General features: G+C 45.2%; 1 protein-coding gene and 1 long non-coding RNA gene across 4 annotated transcripts in view; both read left to right on the top strand.

Annotated features, from left to right (window-relative positions):
• The first annotated feature begins 5,271 nt into the window (after positions 1-5,271).
• Positions 5,272-14,916, top strand: part of SLC6A13 (solute carrier family 6 member 13) — a 42,215-nt gene continuing 32,570 nt past the window's right edge. For 2 of the 3 annotated variants that reach the window (NM_001190997.3, NM_016615.5), the window contains exons 1-2: positions 5,272-5,319; positions 8,051-8,257. In NM_001190997.3, coding sequence (NP_001177926.1) covers positions 8,056-8,257 — 202 coding nt within the window. In that variant the 5' untranslated portion in view covers positions 5,272-5,319; positions 8,051-8,055. Of the gene's footprint in view, positions 5,320-8,050; positions 9,120-14,916 lie in introns of those variants that run through there. The other variant, NM_001243392.2, reaches the window with a different exon arrangement.
• Positions 10,809-14,666, top strand: LOC102723544 (uncharacterized). The gene is made up of 3 exons (NR_120482.1): positions 10,809-10,837; positions 11,468-11,635; positions 14,361-14,666. It is a non-coding gene; the product is annotated as an uncharacterized LOC102723544 (long non-coding RNA).

The following is a 14,916-nucleotide window of genomic DNA, read 5'->3' as shown; positions in this document are numbered from 1 at the left end:
CAGATGAGAGCTGCCATGTTTCCCAGTCATGGGAAAACAATCATGTTTCCCTTCTGGGTCCCCTCTCTCTCTGGGCTGAGACATGAGAGATGAGATTCCGGCCACACTTTGCATTCCTCATCAGTCAGCTGTGTGATCAGTGCATCAATATATTTTTCTCATCACAAATAACGTCCTGCAGTGGTGGTTAAAAATGTTTAGGATAAAAGACTGTCCATCGATTGAAGTTGCTCTTTTTAAATGTCACTCTGCCCTAATCCCTCACCGCAGCTCCATAGTGTCAGGGTGTCTCCATTCACTCAGAACCCCTGCTCACTAACTGTTCATCAGCCAAGAGCTTCCCACTGAGACTAGTTACATAAGTGTTGCAAACTGTATGTACTCTGAGAGTCAGACAAGAAATCAGGGAAACAGGGATTGGAAGAAACAGGATAAAATTGGGAAATAACTGCAATTACTTTTCTAGAGTTAAAGACAAAAGGTATGATTTTCCTTAATAGGGCAGAGTAGTAGGAGAGAATTGTGGAACACATTGGGATAGGAAGAGAGCCTTCTGATTAGATTTTTAAAGTATTATTCAGGTCTGATGAGATTTTCAGTGAAAGCAACATTTTTCTTGTCATTTTCGTTATTCACCTCTTTCCTAAGAAAGTTATGTTTAATCCCACGGGCCAGCAATAGCCAAAATAAACAGTACTAGAGCTGTGCTTTTTAGTGTTTTTCTTGTCTTTTTTCCTCCCCCTCTAGACTTAAAGTATAGATAGCATGGTAGCTATAAGTAAATAATGGACTTTAGAATTCTACAAACCTGAGTTCAAAACCTGGGTCTACCATTTACTAGTTATGTGGCCTAGCAAGTAATTTAATTATCTCTAAGCCTTTGTTTTCCTGTCTTTAAATGGTCATGTCAGTAATTCTTGTGTCGTAGGTTTGTTCTGAGGATAAATGCGATGGTGCCTGTGTAGCACTTAGCACCACGTCTGGCACATTTGAAATGCACGACAAACGTTACTAATGGTAATGGTTGACGTCATTAATATTCTTTGTCATAAGTCTTGTTTCTTTCAGATCTTGGGTCTGGCATGGTGGCTTACGCCTATAATCCCAGTGCTTTGGGAGTCTGAGGCAGGATTGCTTGAGGCTAGGAGTTTAAGACCAGCCTGGGCAATATAGCAAAACCCTATCTCTATAAAAGATTAAAAAATAATTAGCTGGGCATGATGGTGCAAACCTGTAGTCCCAGCTACTGGGGAGACTGAGTTGGGCGGATCCTTTGAACCTGGGAGGTTGAGGCTGCAGTGACCTATGATTGTGCCACTGCACTCCAGCTTGGGCAATAGAATGAGACCCTCATCTCAAAACAAACAAACAAACAAACAAAGAAACAAGAAAACAAATTGGAGTTGATAGAATTTAGGTGAATTATCCCATCTGGGATCAAACAGAAAACGCTTCACAGTTTTCAGTGACACCTCTGGTTTCCGCACGTAACATCCCAGAGCTTTTCACAGCAGGGTCAAGTACTTGGGCTGTAATAGAGTGTAAACAAAAATCTTCAACAACAACAACAAAAAAAAAAAAACCAAAAAAACTTTATTTTAAGCTAATTTTAGACTTACAGAAAAATTGCAAAAATAGTACAGAGAGTTTCCATCTTTCACTCAGCTTCCCCTAACGTTAGCATCTTTCACAACCATAGTACAATTGTTAGAACGAGGAAATTAACATTGGTAGAGAACTATTAAACTAAAGACCTTATGCAACTTTCACCAGTTTTTACATTCATGTCCTTTTCTATTCCAGGATCCTATCTAGGATCCCATTCAGGACCCCACATTGCATTTAGTTGTGATTTTCCCTTAGTCTCCTGCAGCCTAAAACACTTGCTCAGTCTTTGTTGTCTTGTCTGTCTTGTCTTTCATGACACTTTTGAAGAGTAGTGATCGGTAATTTTGTCAAATGCCCCTCACTTTGGGTTCGTCTTATGTTTCTTGTGATTGAACCGCATGTTTGGCAAGAATACCACAGAAATGTTGTGTCACTCTTAGTACATCATATCCATGGTTCATGATATAGAGAGATATTGATGTCTTATTACTATCTTATTACTGGTGATGTTGACCTTGGTCATTTGGTTAAGGTGGTTTCTGCCTGGCTTCTCTACTTCAAAATCACTATTTTTCCCTTTGTAGTTAATAAATATCTTGGGGGAGACACTTTGGAATTGTAAAAATTCTGTTCCTCCTGGAACTTTCACCCACTAGTTTTAGCATTCATTGGTAGATCTTGTCTGCAACAATTATTATAGTGGTGTTTGTCTAATGGTGATTTTCTGTTTTTCTCTTTCCTTCTACATTTATTAAGACTTCTTTTTCTTTGAGATGGGGTCTTGCTGTGTTGCCTCAAACTCCTGAGCTTAAGTAATCCTCCCACCTCAGCCTCCCTGAGTAACTGAGATTACAGGTGCATGCCACCATGCTCGGCATCCTTCTATATGTATTAATTGGAATTCAACTGTAAGGAAGACTAGTCCTTTTATCCCACTTATTAACTTGTTGGTTATTTGTATCAGCATGAACTTATTAGTGAACTTTGTTCTTTGGGCTACAATCCAATACTATCATTATTCATTTTGTTGTTCAAATTATTTCAGTTATAGCAAAAGCCATAATTTGTTGTTTAGTCTGTTCTACTTGCTCTTTTCTTTTCTTTCAGTGTGATGTTTGAAAAGGGATCCAAAAAGTCAACAGGTTTCTGACTCCTGTGGTTAAACAGAACTATATCTCTTAATTTAAAGGTCTCCAGAGGAGAACCCACCACTTCCTTTGCCACCTTGATGTTGCTCAGAAATGTTCTTTCTTGAAACAAATCGTGCTGCTTTTAAAATTTGTTTCTGTGAAATGTCAAACTAGAAAAAAATTTTATTTGTTCTTATTCCACTCCTAGTAGAGTCAAACAATTTTTGGGAGAGCGTATCATGGCGTACTGTCATTTAAACATACCTGGGATCAACTTGGTACAAACCAGGACTCCTAGGCCTGCTTTTTGCGTGGTTCACTTTGTTTTATACAATCCTGTTGTTGGAAGCACAGCCTTCAATTATCCTCACTGACAATCTCTAGTGAGTCTTAAAACTTATGCAGCCTCTTGAGTAAGAACTGTTGAATACGGATTCTGTTGTTACCTGTTTTCAGGTTTCTTGACTTTGCACCCAGCAGACCAAAGGATGATGGCAACGTGAGGTAGATGCAAGGCTAGTCATGCCTGTTTTGTGTGGAACCCCAGACGGGAAGTTGTGAGGGACTGTCGCCAACATTTATCTACCAGTGGTTCTCAAGCTTTTTTTTTTTTTCTTTAACTTTTGTCAACCTAAGCAGGACAAAAAACCTACCATAGCCATTCCCACTTTATAGAGGAAAAAGAAATTGGGGATAACAAAGATTTGGAGAGGAATAAAATAGGAGTCAACATGGTAACATGGCAGCAGTTATGTAAAAACAAAAGAGTTGGTAAGTAAAGCCAACATTCCTTCATACAACAGCAGCAGCTCACAACCAACTCAGGATAAGCCTGATGATGTCCTTATCACTGACAGTCTTTCCTGGAAGCTGGAAATTGCAACCGTTTGCATATGTGAGGACACAGAAGGGGCTGTGCAACATTGCCAAAGGCTGAATGGTATCTGAGAAAACACCCGTTATCTGGTAATTTTAGATTACAAATGCCAAAGTTTATAATGCATAGTAGGCCATTAGTAAGTACCACTCAGTGATACGTAAAAATGGAAGTCAATAGCACTGCTTTGAAGATGGTCTTTTTTTTACATGAGTTTGTAGGCTGTCTCAGGACGCTTTTGGTTTATTGCTTTACAGAGCTCAGTCTAACAGATGAAAGCTTGAAAGGGGAGAGGAACAGGGGCCGCTGAAACATAAGAATAATAATTTCCAAGAAGCTTCTGGGAAGCTCTCCAGGTATTACCATGCAGTGTTTCCATGCCCCTACCCCATGCCCTTGAGTTAGATGAGGGATCAAGGAAACGGAAACTACCTTAGACTCTTCGATCCGTCTTTCTTTCCACACTTCTCCGTCATCTCAAGATGTCTCTATCACCTCACTCACTCATTGCCGCATCCCCTACCTAACTCATTCTCACAGTCTGGCCAGAGCCCAGCTTAGCTCAGGGGTCTCTCAGTCCCGTCTCCTTCAAGAAGACTTCCGGGCTCACTGCTCACTGTGAATAATCCCTTAAGGATGAATAACAGCTGCCATTTACAGTTAGTCATCATCTCCTGAAATCTCAAGCTAGACAGTGGCATACGTAGGACTCAGACCCCACACTCTCTGGTGTCAAAGTCTGAGCAGGTTTCCACTACATGTACTGTGCTTCAGCACATGGCTGAGGTGGGACTCTGCCCTGTCCTAGACTCCAGGCTGAATGAACTACTCTCACAGCCGCCTCTGTGGGCTGTTCCTGCAGAGAAACGAAGCTCCCTGGATGACCTCGGCCTCGCGCTCACCGCCTGCTCCTTCCCTTATAACAGCTTTAGGGCTTTGCTTTATTTTAAACGTTGGCACTTCCTTTTCTCTATTGATTTAAAAAATATTTTAAAATTCTAGCATATTAAAAAATCTAAACAATATTGAAAAAGTGGGGAAAAAATCTCCCTTACTGCCATCTCCTGATCTCAGTTCCACTCTACAAATGTAACTACTATTAATCATTTAGCGAAGATTTTTTCAGACTTTTTCTATATGTGTATAAATGTCTGTGTATGTTTGGGAAGTTTTTCTGACATCTCAGAGTTCTGTATCTATGTATCTTTGTTCTAAATCATCGTCCATTCCACATTGCAAGCTGCGAAACGGTAAGATAAATGTATTTTTAAATTAATCTACACAGCACCTGACCAAAGGAATACCTATTCTTGATGGATTTATAGGAGCACTTGTGTTGGAGACAGGGGTGGGAGGCAGGATCCCTCCAGAGAGACCCTGAGCTCACCAGGTGGGAAGCGCACATGAGCTCCGGGGAGGAGACCACACTTCATAAGCTCACCAGCAACTGGCCCGACCTGCCAGGGCGTGCACACTCCCCAGACTGCGAAATCACTCATGTGTGGGTTGTCCAGTGGCCGAGGGGAGGGGAGGGGAGAAAAGGGGAGGGGGAGGCACAAGGGTGGAATGTGGGCTGGGCCAAGTTTAGAATTTCAAGTGCCACAGAGGCGTTCTGGAACCACACTTTAAATAGCCAGCACCTTCTCCTTCCCCCTTAGATAATTCTTCTCCCCTGACTGGACCTCTGGCAGCAGCTTCACTAAGGTTCGAAATGTTTTCTTCTCTTTTTTTTCTATTTCTGCGTCTCAGACTGCAGGTTGGTGGGATCCATGGGACTTACAACCAAAGGACTTTTTTCTTACCCTCGCCTAGAAAGTACGCTTCTGACATGTATGTGTGCAAATGCAAAGATTATGTGCTATTTTCTTGACTTTCTGAAACTTGGGTGGCTGTTGACTTAAGTGACACTGTGATTTGGAAAGAGAGAGCCCTAGATTGAGAGGAAAGACAACTGGATTTAACTCCAAGAAAACAAAGTCTTTCTTCTCTGAGAAAAGAGAACAATGATCAACTCTGACAGGACTGAAAGAAAACAAAAATTTGAGTACCTGTTATTCTATTAAGTGTGTATACATATGTATATTTCCTCATTTAATTCTTATAGCTAAGTATATCCTATCTATCATCCCCACTTTTACAGATGAACAAACTAAGGCTCAGAGTCATTCATTAACTTCTCTGAAGTCAGACATTGGTATGAGAAAAAACTAATGTTTGAACCTGGCCTCATCTGACTCTACAGCTCATGACCTTTCAGACACAACATGCTACCTCTGAGAAGCAGCTCTAATGAGGCTAAGGGAGCCAGGAGAAGGCTACTGTTTCTCCTAGGGTCTGGGAGGGTGGAGAAGGGAAGGCTTTCCATCACTGGGAGAGATCCATCAGCTGGTAAAGGGAGGGGAGGCCAGCACAGTCAGTACCTTAGACAACCTTCCCAAAAGGACTGAGGAGCCCTCTTGGGACCAGTTACTTGAGTTTCTCCTTTGTAGAAAGGAGCTCATTCCCTAATTTATCAGATAAACATAGATGCCTGCTGTTCCCTGACTTTTTTTTTTTTTCTTTTTTTTGAGACAGAGTCTCGCTTTGTTGCCCAGACTGGAGTGCAGTGGCGCGATCTCGGCTCACTGCAACCTCTGCCTCCTGGTTTCAAGCGATTCTCCTGCCTCAGCCTCCTGAGTAGCTGGGATTACAGGTGCCTGCCACCATGCCCAGCTAATTTTTGTACTTTTCGTAGAGACGGGGTGTCACCATGTTGGCCAGGCTGGTCTCAAACTCCTGACCTCAGGAGATCCACCCGCCTCGGCCTCCCAAGTGCTGGGATTACAGGCGTGAGCCATTGCACCCGGCCTGTTCACTGACTTTCTAATTTTCTGGGTCAGAGCCAAAGTAGAGTCTGTGGCCAGAAGAGGTTACTGCTGAGAAAGTTCTGTTAACATGAACTTTGCTTGAGGCTTAGAAAAAAGTCCATCTGCCTCCTTCTCCAGAAAAGAGGCCACTCTGCAAAATCAAGGCAGAGTCATTAGAAGATGCTTTTAGTAGACACACCAGTGAACCTAGGCAGCCAATGTAATCAAAGGGATGGAACTGAAAGAGCAGGGGCAGAGTGGGTTTAAGTCCTGGCTGTGCAAGTTAGTAGCTATATGGCAGCAGCAGTCACATTATTTAACCTCTCTGAGCTGCAACTTCCTTATTTATAAAGTGGAGGTAATAATGCTTACATCTCAGGGTTGTTGTGAGAATTAAATGAAAAGAATGTATGTGAAGTGCCTAGTCTATAGTAGTTGCTAACTAAATGTGGGCCACGTCCAGTCATCCTCAATCCCAACAGTGGTCTGGAATGGGCCATTTCTGACAGTGAATGGTTAAAACTGTGGCTTTTTATTTATATCATCTTCTCTACTGTCACAGACTCCTAATTTGTCATCACCAAAAAAGAAAAAGAGCGCATAGTAAATCTCTGCCTTACGCTGATTTCAGAGAGACATAGAAGGAGTACTTAGACCACCTCATCTTACTCACAATTCCTGGTCCCACTCAACCTCTCCCAATCCTTTGACAGGATTTTTTTTTAAAACCGGCTTTTATTTTTATATTACAAAAGTAAAACACATTTTTGATGTAATTGTAGAAAATATAGATAAGGAAATGTTCCTATAACCCAACTGCTGAAAGAAAAACATTTTCATGGCTATCCTACTCCTTCAATGCCTATAAATACTTTATAAAATATTTGTCAAGCATGATCATATTGTATGTACTGTTTTTTACTATATATTGTGAGCACCCTTTTGTGCCGATATACTTGTTTCTATAACACAGGTTTTAATGATTATATATAGTAGTCCATTATATGAATGTGCCATAATTTATCAACATATCTACCATTTTTGACAATTTATGTACTTTCCGATTTTTCGCTGTTATGAACAATAAATATCCTAATGCTACACCTTTCACTCACAATCACAATTATTTCCTTAGCATAAATTCCTGCAAGGGAAATTGGTGGCTTTGAGGACATGTAAAATCCCATCCTTTCAACGTGTCCCAGCATACAGAGTAAACAGACTGAAGCACATGCTAATCCCGACGAGGCTGACTGTAGGGTGGCAGGGAGAATTTAGACAGCACAGCGGCCCATGAACTCCTCCATGTCTGCAATCCTCAACCCAAGAGGGCCTTATAGTGGAAGCAAAGGCTGTCTGTCAGTACCAACACTTTCTTCCTGAAACAGGAAAGGAATATATGTTTTCAGTAGCTGTCACCCAGCTTCTACCAATGAGAACTGCTAAGGAGGACATGGTCTACAGGGAAGGGAATAGAAATTCACCTCTTCCAGTGCATTCATTCCCTTATGGATTTGTTGGTAAAAGCAGGAGGAGGGGTTTCCTTCTGGGGTTCCCAACAGTAACAGAGCATCCCACTTGTTTTCCAGGTGGGATGGATAGCAGGGTCTCAGGCACAACCAGTAATGGAGAGACAAAACCAGTGTATCCAGTCATGGAAAAGAAGGAGGAAGATGGCACCCTGGAGCGGGGGCACTGGAACAACAAGATGGAGTTTGTGCTGTCAGTGGCTGGGGAGATCATTGGCTTAGGCAACGTCTGGAGGTTTCCCTATCTCTGCTACAAAAATGGGGGAGGTGAGATGAGAGCCCTTGTGCCACCCCACCCACTCCTGGAAGGAGGATACTTCCATCTCCTGCACTTACGGCCCCTCTGGGGAGTCCCATAGATGTATAGAATTCTGGAGGTAGGAGGACGCTTAGAGGTCATTAAGGACACTCTGTAAGAGACTAAGACCTAGAAAGGTTACGTGACTATCCCAGGGCTCTTTCTATTATAACGTGGCATCGTAGAAATATGAGCACAAGCTGGAACCAGGTGGATGAGAGTTTGGATTCTGGCTCTGCTACTTAACACTCTGTGTGATCTTGGACAAGTTACTTAAGCTCTCAGAGCATCAATTGCCGCTCCTGCAAATTGAGATAATAATGCCTGCCTTTCAAGGTCATTGTAAGGATTAGAGACAATGTGTGTAAAGCACTTAATAAATAGTAGCTCTGCTGATGATGACGTTGATAACCAAACTGTTCTGTGGTCTTAAGTAATAAATAGTAGCTCTGCTGATGATGACGTTGATAACCAAACTGTTCTGTGGTCTTAAGTAATAAGTAGTAGCTCTGTTGATGATGACGTTGATAACCAAACTGTTCTGTGGTCTTAAGTAATAAGTAGTAGCTCTGCTGATGATGACGTTGATAACCAAACTGTTCTGTGGTCTTAAGTAATAAATAGTAGCTCTGCTGATGATGATGTTGATAACCAAACTGTTCTGTGGTCTTAAGTAATAAATAGTAGCTCTGCTGATGATGACGTTGATAACCAAACTGTTCTGTGGTCTTAAGTAATAAATAGTAGCTCTGCTGATGATGACGTTGATAACCAAACTGTTCTGTGGTCTTAAGTAATAAATAGTAGCTCTGCTGATGATGACGTTGATAACCAAACTGTTCTGTGGTCTTAAGGTTCCCCAGCCTTGGTCTTGTGTCTTTTTCCTACTTTGCTGGCACGGTGAGGCTCCCTAAGCCATCCATTACCCAGCCCCTTCTAGTATAGGCTCTCTTTTTAAAAATTTCGCAGCACAAATGTGTGCATGTTGTAGGGGGAGCATGACCTCCAGCTCTTTACTGTGTCATCATTGGCTTCTCATTCCCCTCTCTTTCAGCCCCCTGGGGTAACTCTGCTATCCCCACAGCAGTGACAGAAATTTTGCAACCACTAACCCACAGTCAGGGAATTTTGTATCTCTGTGGGAAGCCCTAGCTAGAGGGATTTCCCAACTACTGGAGGGTTCTGGGTGACCAGTGGGTTAGGAATATCTCCTTGCTTATGGGTAAAGCTTGTAGGATTGGGGCTCCCAGGTCTGATTTTGTAGTGAGACTGCAGCCGGGACTGGAGGAATGTGGAATACAGAGGTAGGTCACCAGGGAAAATGATGAGAGGAGTGATAAGTTCATGGGCTACAGGATTTGAGGTCCTTTAAAGCAACACCTATCCTTTTGCAGGTGAGTAAGAGCTGCCGAACGCATCCAGCTTGAGTCTCACAATGATTTTAGAGAGAGAAAGCATTCAATACAGAGGGGAGGTGTGGGAACTGGGGGAGAACACGAGAGATGCCCTGGGCCCATGGAGTCTGGTTCCCAGGTCTGTGGCAACTGGGGATTGTCCCTGGGTTGGAGGTTAACTTGAATGTTTCCAGAGGGATGAAAATGGGCTGTCGTGTCCCTTCCTCCTAGGAATTTCTTTCTGGCCAGTGGCCTGAAATCATAGGACTTTGCTCAGTTTGCACTGTGAGGGAAGAGGGAAGGTCTACCCACTTTTTACCTAGTGCCGAACGCTCCACGTGCTTGTTTAGGAATTTAGGCCTGAGTACCCTCCCTTTGGAGAATCAGGAGAGACGGAGCTGGCCCAGGGTGAAAGCTGGAGGCTGGGGGACTAATCTGGCATTGGGACTCTGGGTCTGGAACCTGGTAACCAGCTTAGCTCCTCACATGGCAGAGAGATTAGGAGGTGAGCAGCTTTCCCCAAGCCTCTCTGGAATTGGGTAAAGGTTGGCCTGGGAATTAGCAGGAATGGCACGAAGAGGTGGGAGAGATTGCCTTCCAGGTCTAATGCAAAGCACTGGGCTGACAGGGGAAAGTGGAGGGGAGCAGTGACTGGAACGTGGGGGATGAGGGACTCTCCCCGGTCCTTTGTCTGGCAATGTTTGGGTCCCAGGGCTGCGTGGTGAGTCTGTGTGGGTCTGGAACGTGTTGACTGTGTCTTGTGTGGGAACGCAGAGTACCCACAGCCCTTGGTCATTCACGTGGGTCCTGTGTGGGGAGGTGGAGGCAGCAGGGCGGCGGCTGTGGTCTCCTTCTCCCTGGGTAGAGCCTGCCTTCCAGCACTCTGATTCTGGTGGAGAGTCCTGACATGTTTGGGAGTCCTGCCATCCAGTCAAGTTCTCTTTGTTTAACCCTTACACTACCTACCCGTAACTTCTTCCCTTATCAAGCACAGGGCCTGAGCACTCCTCGCCCCCATTCGCTGATGGATGACAGCAGCTGGAGGGGAATGTTCTGAGGGACTGGGGAGCTGCAGGCAGGGGCCCAGGTTTGCTCTGGAGGGCACGAGTCACCCAGGACCACTGGCTGGGTTAGTGAAATGGCTCCTTTGCCAAGGTAAGCGGGCTGATCAAGGATGTGTGTGGTCAGTAGAGGAACCTGGACCTGCCTATTTTTCTGTTTTTTTTTTTTGGTGTTCTCAGCAGTTTAAACTTTCTGTCATCAGTTAACTCCTCTCACCTCCCACGCAAAGCAAACTCCTACAGAGAATGGGCCCTTAAACTTCATCTTGTCATTCTCCTGTCTCTTTGCCAAAGAAGAGACTGCTGCCTCTTCCTGAAAGGACCCTTTGCTGCTGATGTGGGAAGGAGGCTGGGGAGAATGGAGACCCTGTAGATTGGTTGGACCCCTTTCCTCCTGGTTTAATGCTTTTATTTGAACTCACCATTCTCAGACTGGGGCCTTGGCTCCTGGGCATGGGAAGAGTGTTCTGAGCAAGGACGCTGGGATACTCCAGGCTGTGCCATCCTTTAGTAACGTACCCGACTGGCCTGCTCCTGGGCCCTTTCTTTAAATTCACAGCTCCAAGTAGCCACTCTTGTGCTTGGCGGGGAGGGGAGGGCAATCAAGGAATTGGATTCGTAGTAGTATTTGTTTAGTGAGAAGCTCAGGGATGAAGAAGTCCTCAGAGCACAATTTTAGTTCCAAACTAAAAATGTAAGTGACATCTTCTTTGGTTTCTTCCAGCGTCAACATGTGGTAGATCTAATTTGAAATGAGTTCCAGAGCTGAGGCAAGGCTATGATAGAACACAAGGCAAACAGCTGAAAACTGTAGTCAAAAGGCAGGGAAGCTGAGAAAGTGATTCAAAGAAGCCCATCTGAAATCGGAAGCAACAGGGACGCTTTTAGGGAGGTGAGTGAGAGGGATGCCCGCCTCCACCATCTCCTGGGTAAATAATCTCCCTGCTGTCCAGGACCTGCAGCTGATCCACCCCCAGGCACCTGCTTCATCCTACTGGCTTTATAATTTCCAGTCTCTTTCCATTGCCTCGGCGCATACTCAGCCAAGCCCTGAGCCTGTGTCATTCACCAGCAAATACTTACTGAGCACGTAGCAAAAGCCAGGAACTGTTCTAGGTGGTTGGGATACATCTATAATCAAAACGGACCAATTCCCTGTCCTCATAGGGCATACATTCTAGAGGAGGGAGACAGACACTACACAATAAATGGGATAAATGAGTAAATTAGGTAGCATTCCAGAATTAATGAGTGCTATAGAAAAAGAACAAGGAGAGCTGGGTAAAGGGGATCAGGAGTGTGGGTGTGGGTGGTGGCAATTTTTAAAAGGGTGGTCATTGAGAGCATGTGAGCAAAGCCTTGCCAGGAGTGAGAGAACTGGCCATGTGGATATTATGGGGTTGGGTGAAAGTGCTTTCCTCTAGGCAGAGGAAACAAAGGTTGAAACGAAGCAAGAGTCTGGCTGGCTTGTTTGAGGAGGACTCAAGCCTGGAGCTGGGCAAGTGAATAGAAGGTAAGGTCAGGGAAGTAAATGGGCTGGGGACAGGGAGAGGGGCAGATCAGGTATGTCAGGTTGGCCACTCTCAGACTTCAGCTTTTGCTCTAGTGACATTCAGATGCAGGGCAGGGTTTTGGGCAGCAGTAATCTCACATTATTTCCGCCCCCTCCAAGATGGAGTCTCGCTCTGTCACCCAGGCTGGAGTGCAGTGGCGTAATCTCAGCTCACTGCAACCTCTACCTACTGGGTTCAAGTGATTCTCCCGCCTCAGCCTCCCCAGTAGCTGGGACTACAGGCGCGCGCCAACACGCGCGGCCAATTTCTGTATTTTTAGTTGAGACGAGGTTTTGCCGTGTTGGCCAGGCTGGTCTCGAACTCCTGACTTCAGGTGATCTGCCCACCTTGGCCTCCCAAAGTGCTGGGATTACAGGCATGAGCCACTGCGCCCGGACAGTCATCTTACATTTTAAAATAATCTCTCTAGCTGGTATGTTGAGAACTGAGTATAGGGGAGTGAAGGCAGAAGCTGACTGGTTATAAGGCAAAAATCTTGGAGTCATCCTTAATTTCCTCCACCTCTCATAGCTCTTGACTCTACCCAAACACCCAGGTCCTGGGAGCTTCAGGACCTCTCCAGCTCCCTGGACCCTGGTTGCTGGCAGAGCGAGTAGCTCAGCACCCGAATGCCTGGGACTAGAGCCCCCGCGATGAGATGTGCAGGACCCGACCACTTCTCATCCCCTCCACTGCTAGCACCCATCTAAGCAATCCGAGAGTTTTCACCTGAGTGACTGGAAGGAAGGAGCTGCCATTCACTGAGACGTGGAAGGCCATGAAGGGAGCAAGGTTTTGTGTTTTGTTTTGTTGTTGTTGTTGTTTTTAATAGAGAGGGGGTTTCGCCATGTTGGCCAGGCTGGTCTCAAACTCCTGGTCTCAAGTGATCTGCCTGCCTCGGCCTCCCAAAGTGCTGGGATTACAGGCATAAGCCACTGTGCCTAGCCCCAGAGGAGCAGGTTTTGAAGGGAAAGTAAGGAGGTGAATTTTGGGAAAGTTGAGTTGAGGTATCTATCAGATGTCCATGTGGAAATGGCAACTGGGCAATAGAATGTGAGTTTGGGGTTTGTGAGAGAGATCTGGCTGGAGGTGTGTATTTGGGGATCATTAGCATTTTGATGGTATAAGAAAAGAAAGTAAGGACCTTTAGTGGGTCTGGGAGAAGATGGGAAACCAGCAGAGGAGACAGAAAATGAGAAACTGGTAAAGCAGGATGAAAACCAAGAGAATGAAGTGTTTTGGAAAGTCGAGTGAAGAAATTCTATCAGGGAGGAGGGAGAAATTAACTGCAGCAAAGGCTGCAGATAGGTTAAGAAGATGAGGAAAGGAAATTGATTGTTGGTTTTAGCAGCTGGGAAGTCATTGATGATAAGAGCGGTTACAGTGGAGGGCTGGGGACAATGACTGATTGAAATGGATTTAAGATAATGGGGGAGATGGGAGAAAGGAATTGGAAATAGTAAATGTGGGTTATTGGGGCAAAATGTGGGAGTAGGTAAAATCCACCCCTTCCTTGTGTATTTCCCTTCTGGGCGGAAGGGGGCCATGTGAGTCCTGCGTAGCAGTGACAGTGTGCCAGTGGCCAGACTCCTCGGGGGTGGGGCCCTGAGCTGGCGAGGCGGCTGAAGAAGCTTGACATTTGAACTATTCCTCCAGCCCTCCACCCTCAGCTGCCAGGAGGGAAAGCAAATACGATTTTCTACTAGGGCCTGCCCAGTTAAAGTTCCAGTCATGGGACGAGGAGATGCTGGATAACGCAGGAGGCGTGATGTGGGAAGAAGGTAGCGGGAGAGGGTTCTGGTCATAGGACTGTCCATAGCCAGCGGGGAATTTAAATCACCTTCCTGCCTATCTCAGCCCAGATGAAAAAACCGTCTGCCAACATTTTCACTTAATTTCTAAGTCCAGGTTGCTGAAATTTCACTCGGGGCAGAAGTTACCCGTGCCAAGAACCTTTTAAGTTTTCCACTAGTCTCAGGACACCAGCTGGAGACCATCTTTTGCGAGGACTTCCTCCCTGTCCCCTCCAACTCCTCTTCAGAGCCTCAGTCTTCCCATACCTAGGTCCTGGGTGCTTCAGAACACGGGCCTTCAGCTGAGACCTCTCCAACTGCCTGGACCCTGGCTGCTGGCAGACCAAGTTGCTCAACACCCAGAATTAACTTGGGACTGGAGTCCCCATGTGAGGCCACGACAGGAGGCACACAGCAGGACCTCTCAGAAGGGCCTGGAGGGGAAAGATCCCTCAGCTCCAGCCTGTAAAGAAGGTGCACTGGGATGCCCACACAAAGAGGATTCCCTTGGCAGCAAGGAAAACCATTAGCCCTGTGCTGTTTATAGATAGCAGAGAATAAAGAGAAATAAGAAGCACTGTTCGTGTGTTCATATAAAAGTAATGGTTAATTTAGCAGTGAGTGACAGTGTGTTACCAAGTGTAGTTAATGACTCAGGGCCCACTGTTGGTCAGGCTCATGCCGAGGACAGCACATAACTCCTCATGGAAGCTCCTCGCTCTTCTGTTGCTCAAGTGGAAGATCGTCAGTTTATGCCGTAAGAAATTGGCTGGAACGTTACAAGTGACACCACAGAGCGTGCTCCTTTTGAGAAGGGGGGCCAAGAG

Source organism: Homo sapiens, chromosome 12 (assembly GCF_000001405.40).
Source record: "Homo sapiens chromosome 12, GRCh38.p14 Primary Assembly".
NCBI lineage: Eukaryota > Metazoa > Chordata > Mammalia > Primates > Hominidae > Homo > Homo sapiens.
Note: the sequence above shows the minus strand (reverse complement) of the source record. Positions and strands in the feature narration are given on the sequence as shown.